Source organism: Homo sapiens, chromosome 10, assembly GCF_000001405.40.
Source record: "Homo sapiens chromosome 10, GRCh38.p14 Primary Assembly".
NCBI lineage: Eukaryota > Metazoa > Chordata > Mammalia > Primates > Hominidae > Homo > Homo sapiens.
Genome location: NC_000010.11, coordinates 48,154,329 through 48,167,777, shown reverse-complemented (window position 1 = coordinate 48,167,777; position 13,449 = coordinate 48,154,329). Strand labels below are relative to the sequence as shown.

Sequence of the window (13,449 nt, the reverse complement as noted above, 5' to 3'; positions counted from 1 at the left end):
CATCTAAAAAAAAATACCTTCACAGTGACATCTAGATGGTATGTGACCGCCTATCTGTGTACCATGGCCTAGCCAAGTTGACAGATACAATTACCCATTGCCATGCCTTCTGTGGGGTTCCTAGGAAACAGATTTTGCAGCAGAGATGTGAGCGTGGGAGGTTTTATGGGGCCTGCGCTTGAGAACATCCCCTGTGAGGGTGACTGAGGTGGGGTGGGGCAGAAGGAGAGATCAATGTGCAGCTATAAACAGGGCCTCAGCTGATTCTGGAGGGAGCCCTGGAGCAGAGATGGCCCCTTGGAGCTGCCATGAATTGGGACAAGAGAACCTGTGCCTTTGCTTGTTGCCCTAACCAGCGCTGGGGTGTGGGCTGCCCCAGGGGAGGGGAGATGAGGCAGTAGGATGCGAATCTCAGTCCTGGAGGGGGATCTGGGCGGGTACCTGGATCACCTGTACCTGCTGTGCTGCATGGGCCTTGGGCAGTTGCCTGTCCTCTCTAGGCCCCATGATTCCTCATCTCTAGGATGTGGATAAAAGTGATCACTTATTGTGCCTGAGGGTGACACCATCACTAGGACAACATAAAGGACTTGATGTCCCAGATCCTGTTGATGCTTAGACTCCAAGAGGTCATTTGACATAGCCTCTAGGGAGGGAAGAGCTATGGGAAAGATATCCAAAAGTTGCTGGGTTGGAAAAGAAGGTAGACAGCAGCAATTGTGTTAAGAAACCGAACCAGGTGAGAGAGGGCCAAATTTCACACACACAAATTCAGGCCAAGGTGCTGGGACCCTGTGTTTTTGTTGAAATATCTAGGAAATCCCAGGGAAAAAAGTGGTACTTCCATCCTGGAGAATAGCTCCTCCCAGGAGAGCCCATAAAGATCTAGCAGGAAGGGTCCAGGTGAGGTGTGGGGGTGAGCTTTCCCTCCTCATACCCGAAGGCCAAGTGGGAGGATTGTGATTTGCTTGGGTGGCTCCAGTGGTCAGATTGCAGAACAAGGGTCAGCAGCTCTGGGGAGCAAGCATTTAGTCCATAAAGTAAAGCACCTCTGAGAAGGAGGCAGCCATGCCCACATTTGGGGTAAGGGCATTCCAGGCAGAAGGAACAGCATGAACAAAGGCCCTGAGATGGGAACCCACTTGGATGTTTGAGGGACAAAAATACAAGTGTGCTTGGGCCATCGTTAATGAAGCAGAAGTGGAGGAAGTTGTGGAGGTGGCAGGGACCCTGGAGGGCCTTGGGGATCAGAGGAGCATGATGCCACCATCCTGCATGCAGTGGGAAGCCACTGGGCTGGCACGGAGGGTTAAGCAGGAAATGCCCTCCTCCGTTCTTCAGAGGGGCCACTCGGGTTACTGGTGCACAGGGACTAAAGGAGGTCAAGCAGCAGTCATTCAGGTCAAACATGATGTGGCTTGGACTCAGGCTGTAGCTGAAGTGTTAAGAAGCAGCCAGATTTGGGATACATCTGGGAGGCGGAGTTCAGGAGACTACTTTGGGATTAGAAACAGGCATGAGGAAAGAGAGCAATCAAGCTTTGGCATGAGGAAGCCTTGGGGAAATGGTGGTACCACCAATGCAGGGTGAAGGAGGGGTAAGAAGGTAAAAAGCCTGATTTTCCTGATTCCAATACCTCTCTTCTTTGCACTAGATCACATATACCTATTTCATGCTTTAGGAGGGTAATCATAGATCCTATTTTCCACTTCATCTCTCTTGGTACCAGTTCCCAAGAGAGGGACTGCTTACAGGGGCTGGGGAAGGCCATCTGGGGTGCATGGAAGAGAAACAATAGTTCTTGGTATCATTTAAAACTGAGATGTTTATAGGCTATCCAGTGAAGAGTCTATTAGGCAGTTGTGGAGAATAGGCATGAGATCAGGGCTGGGAAAAGTGAATTTGGGAGTTGTCAGCATATATAGAGGTCGTGTAAAGCCATGAAATGGTTGAGATCACCTTGGGAAAGAGTGCAGATAAGTTCAAGGAGAGGACTGAGAAGTCAGCACAGAGCATAACAACATTGAGAGGCCTGGTACAGAGATGGGACAACATATGAGATTAAGATGGGGCCTGGGAATTGGTGGAAAAACCAAGCAAGGGTGGGGCTCATGGTCAACTCCATGTAAGTAGGGCTAATGAGCAAGGAAGCTCTCAGGAAGGAGGGAGGGACACACTTTGTTGAACGTTGCTGAGAGAGAGAGTGAAAGGACAAAATATTGTTCTTCAGCTTTAGAAAGATAGAGGTCGCTGGGGACCCTGATGTGGGCTCCTTCCCTTGGGTGGTAAGGACAGAAGGCTGGTGCTAGTGGGTGCAAGAAAGAAGGAGGGAGGCGTGGAAACGGTGAGAAGAGACACTCATCTAAGAGGCTGCCATGAAGTAGAGCACAGAAATGGGTGGCGAGAGGTGGAAGCTGAAGTTGGGGTAGGGGCACAGGCTGCTCAGTGGAATTTGCTGTGGGAAGATGAAGAGTTCTCATCTGAACGTGTCCATTCTCACTGTGAGGTCACAGGCAAGTTCAGGGTGGAGTTGTTAGAAACTTGAAGAGAGAGACAAGATGAGAAATAATTTAGAGAGCAGAGGTAGAAAACTGAATGGATTAAGGACACAGAGAAAGATTATGTGGAAGTCTTGACTGCCCATTTGACATCTGCAGTCACACACTTGAAGCTAATCTAGTCAGAGGCTCAGAAGCAGGGGTGAGGTTCACACAGTTTGAGTAGGAATTAAAATGGAAACTCAGAATCTGCAAGTGACACGTGATGGAGGAAGAGAGGGGCAAGGAGGTGGGAGCTCAGGGTCTTCCTTGTCTGTAAGTGAGCATCTAGGGGCAGAGCCATGGAATCTAAGCAGAATAAGAGGCACACCGAGGACATGTGTGACAGGGAAGGGGAGTGGGGGTAATGATGAAAAGCAGCAGCTCCACAGACTGGAGGTCTTGGAGTGGGGAAGGATTGCTGGAGAGCATGTCCAGGGATAATGAGCTAGAAGGAGAGGATAGGTTAGAAAACAGATTTTGGAGGTCTCTCCAAAGAGTATGAAAATGTGACAAAATATGGTCTTCTTAAAATTTTGATTTTTGGTGTATCCTTTATAATGTCCAGCCTATCAGAAGAGTAGTAAATGTTTATGATTTATAATTAAATAAATGTGCACATTTGGAGGTGTATCCCTCTCATTGTTAGGGATGTACAATCAGAAATGTGGGGAGACCACTCATTGGGGTGGTTCTTCTTTTGTAGGTGAGGGCAGGGGTGGGAACCCAGGCATGGGCTCTATTACATCAGGTATGGAGATCATGGGGTGGAAGTGCTGGAAGATAATTTTCAGGAAAAGGTAAAATCATGATTCCTACAGATATAAAAATGAACACATGTTAAAGATTTTATTTAACTCATTCAGTGAGGGAACCAGGCAGATGTTAAAACTGGCTCAAAAGAGATTTCAAAGGACCTGTTTATTTATAGAGTTGTAAAATAGCTCAAAGACAGTGGAGACAGCCAGAATCAGAGAACCCAGCAGGTTCTGCTGTAGATAAAAACAGTTTTCTACTGAAACACAGATTGTTTTTCTGTAGAAGGTCAAGCAGTGGCAGCAAGACATAGCACATCATCAAAACCAGAACCTAAAAGGCTGACAGGGAGGTGAGCAGTTGAGACGAAGCAAGTCATGTCTGGGAAAGTGAGGAGGAGACCCAGGAAAGAACATCACCTTGATGGGGGTGGAGACAGGGAGACAAGCCCTGAGATGACAGATGAAGATGAAAAACTTAAAAAGAAAACATTTCTTATCGGAGAGTGGAATAGAGTCATTGTTTTGCATATTTATCTTCCATTTTTATCTTTGTCTAAATTTTGCAAATATTTTTTATTTAAAAATAAGGCTCACATTTATGGAGAGCTTCCAAAGCCAAGGTGCCTGAGTGTGTTGCCCAGTGTCCAGCCGGGAGCATGTGGAGGAGCTGGGATGCTATGGTGATAGACAGACCTCAAAGCCCATCTTGTAACTACTCTGATCTATAATCACATGGGGGAAAAAAGCTTTGTATTTTTAAAAAAACAATGTGCATCCCGCAGCCAGTAATCAGTAGCATTTCTTTTAATAGACACCTGAACTCTCAGCTGACAAAGAATTCACCAGGGCAACATGTACTGACTCATGTACCAGCCCCATCCTGGATCAAGAGGACAGCTGGAGGGACAGTGCCTCCCCAGATGCAGGGGAAGGCCTGGGTCTCAGGCCAGAGTCTTCCCAAAAGGCCATCAGAGAGGCACAATGGGGCCAAAACAGAGAGAGACCTTGGGCCAGTTCCTTGACACATTCTCCTGAGTCCCACCCTCATTTATGCAAACTTCACCAAGAAAGGGATGAATCAACATTGGCGACCTCTTTGGAAAAGGATGTGAGGCAAAACTGCTATTCAGTTTGTGATATCATGAGACTTGGAAGGTAAGAATCACCACATTTGCAGACATTTTGTAAACTGTGTGCATCTCATTGCTAGGAAATTGTAATCAAGCCATCAATAACTATGCTTGGATGATTTTGTGCCCAGCACTGTTCCAGGCATTTAGAAGAGAGGTTGCAACAAGAGAAGCATAAAGTCTGGTGCTGCTGTGACCACCTGTGAGCTTTTGGGAAAGCAAACCCTACCCAGACCACAATTGTCCCCAATATGTCTTGGAAGCTATAGGTGGCAGGCCTCAGGTTTTCTCCTGGCACACAAACCTTTCTCTTGTATCTTCCATGGCCTGTTAAAGCTTTGTAGTAAGAAGGAAGTTCCTACATGCATCCTCGTTTCTATTGCTAGTATAATGCTTTATTATCAACATCAGCTTTTTTTTTTTTTTTTTTTTTTAAAGATGGGGTCTTACTATGTTGCCCAGGCTGAATTCAAAATCCTGGGCTCAAGTGATCCTCCCACCTCAGCCGGTCAATAGCTGGGTCTACAGGCACCAGCCATCATGCCTGGCTACACCAGCTTTTGTTTTCTGAACACATCTATATCTTCAAGACCACCCTGCAACATTCATTTTCACAGTCATTTTAAATTTAGTCTGCATTTTTGTGTCCATCCATCTGTAAGTATTTCCGATTCTCAGTCCTATGCTGAGGGAACACATAGTCTTTGATTCAGTTTGACAAGTACTTATTACACAAGGTGCTTGGAAACCTGTTGGGAGCAGACAGAGGGCTGCACATGTAGGGTAAGACCTGCTTCTAGCATTTGCCAGCCAGAGGCATGGGCACAAAGCAGGTAAATAACAAGGGGCAATTGTTTGTGTTTGACACTCTATAAACCCACTGAGATTAAATGGCTCTCATTTGGTAGCCATCCTAGACGACTGTCAAAGGTAGATCCATAGGAAATGATAGTCTCTGTGAAGTGTGAAGCAGTCGTGTAATACCGTTGGACCCGATGAGAGCTGTGACAAGCAGGAGCCAGGCATGCATTCCCTAAAAGTACCCTGCTACAATTTTTTGAAGAATGCTGTGTCAGCCAAACAAAAGCTAACTGGTTTGCAAAGTAGAACAGGGTGAACAAGCACATTCATCAATGATATTCACTTTCGTTGTCTGATAATGTATAACATAAGTGTATTTATAGTTCTTTACAATTGCAGTCTAGGCAGTAATTGACATACTTGATAAAATAATAAAGAAAGTAACCTACAGAGACTTGTCCAAGGACAACTACTACCATGATCTTAAAGGACATATTAAAGGAATGGTACTTTCCTGTAGGGAGGAGGCACTTGTTTGGATATTGAAAGGTTTTGCTGCCAGATAGCTTGGGATAATGAACAGGGACCCTGAGAGCTGAATTATAAAGTGACCCTGGGTATAGGTACAAGCTGGGAATTTGACTTGCCAAGTGCCTTTAATTTAATATAGCCAATAGTTATTTAAAATGGTATTTTAAACTATTAGTATAGGCAGTCACTGTTTCATTCATTAAACGACAGAAAATCAGCCTGTTCAATATAAAAATGATCTAGTCTAGCCTCAAACTCCATGCTGGAATCTGCTCCATAACATTCCTGAAGAAGGGGTCCCAGCTTTTGCTTGAATATCTGCAGGGATGCAGAACTTGCTACCTCTTGAATGACCCATTTTATCATCATCTAGTTACTGATCAGAAGGTTCTTCCTTATATTAAGGTGAAATCTTTATGCTGTTATGCTGTTCTTATGGGGCCAGCATTTAAAGTTACACATTTTGCATACAGCATGGCTCATAAATTCAAGCCTCCTAACTTCATCTGAAGCTCAACCAAAGAAAAAGTGATTTGCTCCCACATCTTCCACATCTTTATGCCTCTTTATGTCTTCTACTTCCAAGTCCGGATACCTATTTCTGCCTATCTGTTAGCATTTGCTGTTTTTTTTTTGCATCAAACATCACATTATTCTGTTTTTCTGAACCAAATTAAATTTGGCTTAGTGGCCCTATTTGCAAGGGTATACCAGATGTCCAAAATCTGTCATTCTTGGAGGGACTGCTCCTTTTAGAGCCACACGAGAGTCCCAAGGGCTTGTCCAGAGCATTCCAGGGGAGTCTCCTATCTTCAGTCTGTTGTGAACGCCCATCAACCATCATACTCACTGCCGGGCCCACATGGTCCATGTACCCATGGATGAACTGTGGGCAGGCAGCTTTACTGTTCTCAGTATCCTGGCTCTCTCAATGGCCAACCGCACCCCCTTTTTCTCTTGCCTCCCTGTGGTAGTTCTGTTGATGAATGCTTTCTGCCTCATCACATTTCCTGGCTTTATTTTTACTTCGTTTTCCCTCCCTCACTTAGGAACCTTTCCTCCCCTCTGAAAGAACTCAAACCAAGTCCACCTCTCCTCCAATAGGACGTCAGTTTGCATTTAATGCACACATAGTGGCTGCCCCCTACAGGAAGAAAAGAGGGGCGCATGCCCAGCGACCCCTGGACACAGTTCCCCCAGCTCCTGGATAGGGTCTGAATCAGGATTCCAAAGTGGGATTGTGACTCTGCAGAAGCCTTAGAAGTGTTTGCAGCTCAGTTCTGAGGTGACTGTCGCAGGCCACTGCCTCTTAAGTGTCTGGCATCTGTGAGTTAAACTCTTCAACAAAAAGAGCATGGATTTCTGTATCCTATTATGTGGTTTCAGCGTTGCCACTTACTAGTATGCCTGGAGCATTGCCTTCCCTAAGCTGGAGGCTTCCCAAATGTAAATGGGGACCATGACAGTTCCACAGGGTACTGTGCAGGTCAAAAGAAATAGCACGCTCAGGGTGCTGTCACAGTGCCTGGCATGCGGCAAGAACTCAATGCAAGTCTGTTTTCCTTCCCTTTCCTGAGCTATTTCCAGCTAAAGAACAGGTCCCTTCAATTGAAATTCCCAGCAAATTGCCGGAACTTACCATCTGCCAGGTGGCAACTTCCTACAGCCAGATGGCTGCCAGCACCACAGCAAATCCAAAGTGTTCATGGACAAGATTCGATTTCACTTTCTTTCCCTGTTCTCTTTTCTCACACTCTATATCTAGAGATTTTACCGTCTAGTAGTAGATCTTTATAAAAATATCTTGTAATAAAGCAGTACAGTACATTTTTATGAAGGAGAGTTGGATTACGTGCCTATCAGAGGGAAAGCTTGGCTGGAGTCATGTTTTTTATAAGGTTAGTTCCTAAAGGTAGGCAGAAGGCAACAATCACATCAAGTCTCATTACCCTTGAAACATCACTTTGGAAGGAGTGATGTTATTTGCCCCTTGGTGTGGGAGCAAATCACTTTTTGTTTGGTCGAGCCTCAGATGAAGTTAGGAGGCTTGCATTTATGGGCCATGCTGTATGCAAAATGTTTGTCTTTAAATGCTGGCCCAATAGAAACAGAGACAGATTGAGAGGATGAAAGATTTAGTTCTCCCACTCATGTGCACTTCAAGGCTTACACTTATCGGTTGGAAAGTTGGTCTTTGCAGAATGTTTAAGGTTATCTTTCTCTTTCTCTTTTTGCCTAGCACATATCATTAAACTCATGTAAGTAAAATGCACGTAAGTTCAACAAGCATCACTTTGTGAAAGTGATGGTATAAATCTTGATGGTCATTTATTTAAGAAAGCAAAATAAAGCAGGACTCCTGGAAATGAACCTAAAGTTATGATATACCTTCTGGGGAAGGGCACTGCCTGGAATAGCAAAAGATAATTAGGAGGCCAGAGATCTCACTCAACTGCAGGGGCCAGGCCAGGTGTGATGTCAGAGTAGTTAGGGAGGGATGCAGTTGCCAGGTGAGGGAGATGTCATGCCTGCTCTTGGGTTGGAGTGTGGCTGAGGGGAGTGAGGGAGGCAGCAGAGCCTGGGCTGGATCCTGGGTGCTGCCTCTAGCAGGATTCTCTTTACACCTTACAGGCTCCCAGGGCTATCCTTGGGTATCCCCAGATACCCAGGGGTATCTGTCCACACTACTGTGACAAATCCTAAGTATTGTACTTCAGCTCAGATTTATCATCTGAGCTTCAAATCTGGCAGTCCGTTGAACTTGTTTACTTTGATGTCTTAGAGATACTGTAAATCCAACCTGCCAAAACTAAATGCAGTTGTCAGGAGCAGAGACCTGGGGCTCCCAGCTGTGTCATCAGGGCTAATGGAGACCTCAATATGGGGCCTGATGTTGGAGAACTGGAGACATGAAGGGACACAAACCCCAAACTTTGTTGTGAGTTTAACCGTAAGTAAATAGGACAATTATAATACCTTCATATTTCAAGCCTGAAATGCCCAATCTGCTTCTATGAATTTCCTCCTGAAAGGCAGAGATGAATTTGGTGGCCCAAGTCTTTAAAGGACAGCTGTCCAGAAAAGTTGGGCACAGTGTCTTTTCTCAGTAAACATTCTGTAGCAAGCAGAGCCTTCAGAATGGTTTCACTGACTTCAGAGCTGAACTGGGATTCCTCTTAAAAATACCCACTGAAGAGTTTCAGGACTTGGTGGGGACCCTGGTTCTGGGGTCCTGCTGGTTTGTATGGGAGACATGGCTGGCCAGGAAGCCCACGTGAAATCTCCAGATTCTCCTCTAGTTATCATCTGTCTATAAAAGCCTCCTTCTGTTGGACAGCTTGGTGGGCAGAGAGTGAGGGCAGGAAGAAGCTGAGATCATTACACAGAATCAGGGGGTGAGCAGAGAGCCCCGTGTACTCCGACAGCATCAGGGTCTTGCTGAAAGTCCTGCTACATTAGCCATGAGCTGGCCGGCCTTGAACCCTGGGTGAAGAACTCCACCTCTTTACCCATCATGTCCACATGCAAAACATGAGGCTTGCTGTGAAAGAATGTCTCTATCTTAATGAAATTCTCCAAATTTCCAAGTCTTGCCCTTTCCGTGAAATAGGCATACAGGCTTCTGGTGCCTCTTTATTCCCTATTCACCCTTTCCCTATGTCCACAGTTGAGCCCCAGGTCAAATCTCCAAGGGCAGCCTGATGGCACGTGCAAAAGGATAGAAGGAAAGGCAGTCGTTCTCCCAACTTGTGGTGGGATGATGGCCAAGATTTCACCCTTGGGACCACCAAGTCCCCCTGGACAAGTGGGGAGCAAATCGCTTTTTCTTTGGTTGAACCTCAGATGAAGCCTTGCCTCTTGCCTCTCAGGCTGATGGCTTCCCTAGGTCTCTGTCCAGGCAGAGCCAGTAGCTGGAGCTCCGAATCAAAACCAGAGGGCAAGGAGCTTATTAGAAGAGGTGGAGGGAGTCTACGGGTGGGAGGTGAGGTGTGGACACTGAGGCAGCTGCAGTGGCCAATGGACACACACAGCTGCCATCTTCCACTCCTCAACAAGGCTTAGTGAGCTCAGAACGGAGGGAAGGGGGTGCTGCTTGAGGTGGTGGGGACAGTGGTGAGCCTAGGCCTGGGCAATAGGCTAGATTTCCCATTCTTTGATAAAACTTCTTGAATGTTTCTTTCCCATGTTTATAAGAAAACACAGTTTCTACATGATTTAGCCAAGCTTAAAGTCAATTTTCCCTGCAAATGCTCAAGAATTAAAAATGTCTTTTGACAGTGAGTGTTCCTCTTCAGTCTTTGTAGAATAATTTCTTTTTTATACACTTGAGTGTGCATATATTTACATGAAATTCACTATTTCACATACCTTGTAGCTCTCATGAGTGGAAATAATGTCTCTTTCACAGTGAAGCTCAGTTTGGGACAGATGCTTCCGGCTCTACTGGGGAGGAGGACGTGCTCTCTGGGTATCTAAGGGTTTGTAGCTATTGGGGTGCACCAGAGCCAATTTTAAGAGAAAGAGGCAATGCAGGAAAGGAGAAGGAGAGCAGCAGCACATAATAAAGCCAACCCATTGATTTGGGTGGGGGTAAGGAGGCTGAGAAATGAGGATCCATGTATTTGCTAAATCTTTGTGCTTTTCTCTTAGATATTCCTTCTCATCTCCTCTAACCAGACTTTCGACAGATATTTTCTGAGCACCTTCTCTGCATGTCTGCAGTGCTGTGTAAAATGCCCTACCTTTGCATGGACTATTCTTTCTAATCAAGAGGCGTGTGTGGCGAACTTGGGGCAGCCCCTGGAAGTCTTGTTCTTTGACCATTACGTCTGCGGCTGCATCACCAGATAATGAGCTTCACCACTCGTCTGCCTCCTGTGTCCTTCCGCGGGGAGTAAATGTCACTTCAGCTTGCCGCATCTCTAAATAGGCAAATTTTCAGTGCTCAGAAAAGGACCTGATCTTTGCACAAAGTGCTTTGATGGTTGCCTGCTTGAGTCACTCCCAATCCCTTCCTGAAGCCCTTTCTTTATAATTCTTCTGTTGAAATAGCCATCATATTCACAGTACTAATCACAGCATCTCACATTTACTAAAAACTTACCCCATACCAGGAACCCAGAGTTGGGGGGGCTGTGTCAGAATTATGTAATTTACGTGTCCCAATAATCCTAGACGCTTCTTGACCATCTAGTTTTGTCAAATGAGAAAACTGAGGTTCCAAAGAAGTCAATAAACTTGTCCAAAGTCTGACCGACTCTGCTTGCCATGTGACGAGTCTGTCTTAGAACTGGGTCATTGCCCTGCTTGCAATGCTGTGCCCTCTGGCAAGCCCCCCCATCCCCCCGGTCTCCTGAGCTCGGTAAGGTGCTCCAGCTGCTTCTATCATAGCACTTCCTACATGGACTGTAACATTTCTTTACTGCTCCAACTTCTCATTAAATTGGGGGCTCCTCAAAGCCAGGGTTGGTGCCTTATAAGTTTCTTGCTTCCTGGTGCCCAGAGCAGCCTCTGGCATGAGCTGTTTGAACACTGGCTGAGTCTCACGGGCCTGTGTCGTGCAGAGTATTCTAAAAGGCAAGGGGAAGGTGGGGTGAGGAATTTTTTTTATCAAGGCTGGAAGAAACATGGGCTTCTGTATTCTAGTCCTGAATTGGATGGGGAGGATGGGGAAGGTGACATGTACCATCCATGTGGAGCCCCTTCTCCCACCTCGGAGGATGAAGAGTATCTTACCATCAACTCTACATGCCAAGGCCAGCTACCCTGTGAAGAATGTTTGGAGGCAGATTCTGGGACCATTCCCTTGCCACAGTTCTGCTCTTGGGGCACTGTCCCAGAGTCTTTGCCTCCAGAAGAGTCCCCAGAGAGTGGGAGTGAATGGGAAGACCTGGAGGAGCCTGTGGCCCTGGAATACGGTGCCCTCAGGTGGGTATCACTCTGGCTGGGTGGACTGGGGCTGAGCTCTGACCAGAGCAGGGCTCAGTGCTATCAAGCCACTTCAACTGGGGGTGGGGGATGGTCTGTGGGCATTGCCCAGTTTCCCCTGCATCTTCTTTGGGGGTCATGCGTCATTGTAATGGCCATTTTCACAGAACACTTACCATGGCCCTTGCACCATGACAACGACCTACAACATGGGGACTGTCATCACCCCCATTTCACACATGACACATTTGGGGCTTTCCCAAGGTTATCCAATAAGTAAGTGACAGAACTAGAATTCAAACCTGATCGGTTCCCCACTCCACGGCCCACCTGTCGAGCACCCATCTGTTCTGCCTCCTATGTACAGGAGTGTGCATCTCTCTCCTCAGGTCTCTCTCTTTTGGGGGTCTGAATGTCTAGTGCTGATTCCTGTTTTGCCTGCTCCTACCTGCCCCTCTGCTGGATGTACTGCAGAGAAGAGTCTTGGTGTCCTGTCATAGGGCCCATCTTGTTGGACTGCTGTGGCTGAGTATAGACCAGCATCAGGAAAGTCTCACTGTTAATGCAAGGAGCCACCAGAAGCTGACCTGGTCACCAGGCAGGGTCAGAACATATTGATGAGGACACAGAAAAAGTAAGGGCAACAGAAACTGTCACACTGGGAGGAAGGGAGGTTAAATTCTGGGCAGGTCTGTAACCACCCAACATTCTGTTAAAGTACTTACAGTGTATATTTAAAAATGCTGAATGTTCCAAAAACTTTCACATAAACACAGTTTCAAGGTCCACTGAAACTTAACGAGACAACAGTTTGAGAAGTTTCAAGTATAATTGAAACCCACTCCTTAACTTTCCTCCTATTGTGTCCCAGCTCCATTTTCCTGGCTGTACATAAGGAAGCTCAGCCACCACAAATGATTGAGCTGGAGCCTCAGAGGACAGTGGTGGGCCAGCTGATAAGGAGAGTGGATATTTGAAATTAAAATATAACAAAAGGGCTGGTTCTTATCTGAAATAGGAAGCAACAAGTTAATAGAGTGGAAGATTCAGAGGCTTTGAAGACTGTGCATGTTCATTTATGGGGAAGTACAACACTTTACAGCATTGGGAGTGTACGTTATGGATTCACAGAAGTGTGGGCAAGCAGGAAGCAGCTTGTATGCAGGGGGCAGTCTTCTTGGAGCTGGCTCCGCAGGGCTGGGAAACAGGAAGAAGAAGGCTGAGCAATTGGTGGGGACCACAAGGGCCAGTCCACTGAGATCTGCAGTGCGTCTGAGCCAGCCGGGAAGAGAAAGGCAGAAGATGTGGCATTGTGGTTGGGGGAGCTCAGATTTGAAGCCTGGCCCTGCCACTCACTGGCTGGGAGACCTGCAGCACATGACTTTTAAACCATTCAATATGCAGCTGACTGCCAGATAACCAAACCCACTTCATGCGGTTATGACAACGCCAGGTGTGTAGTGGTAAGGGCTTAAAAAACATTAGCTATTTTTATCATCAATCACAAAGGAGAGAATTACTCCAGTGAGAAGATATAAGCTTTTTAATGCATTCAATCCTGTTGGGTTTTTTCCATGTAGTCAAAGAAACTAGACAGTTGGACTTGTGCCCTAACATGTGGTATGGGTCTGGGTGGGGAGAAGCACTCACCTATGGCAAGGGTGCCAGGCTCTACCATGCCCTCATCTATGTATGGACTGTAGCATGGGCTGTGCTCAGGGTGAGTCCTGTTAGAATCACTGATCCTGCACAAAAAGGAGAACA

The 13,449-nt window shown here is 46.3% G+C and overlaps 1 protein-coding gene across 4 annotated transcripts in view; it reads left to right on the top strand.

Moving 5' to 3' along the window:
- The window catches only part of FRMPD2 (FERM and PDZ domain containing 2), a 118,337-nt gene extending 107,118 nt beyond the window's left edge, over positions 1-11,219 (top strand). For 2 of the 4 annotated variants that reach the window (NM_001018071.4, NM_001042512.3), the window contains 2 exons: positions 4,107-4,450; positions 10,408-11,216. In NM_001018071.4, coding sequence (NP_001018081.4) covers positions 4,107-4,450; positions 10,408-10,456 — 393 coding nt within the window. In that variant the 3' untranslated portion in view covers positions 10,457-11,216. 4 annotated transcript variants of the gene reach the window in all.
- Positions 11,220-13,449: the final 2,230 nt, after the last annotated feature.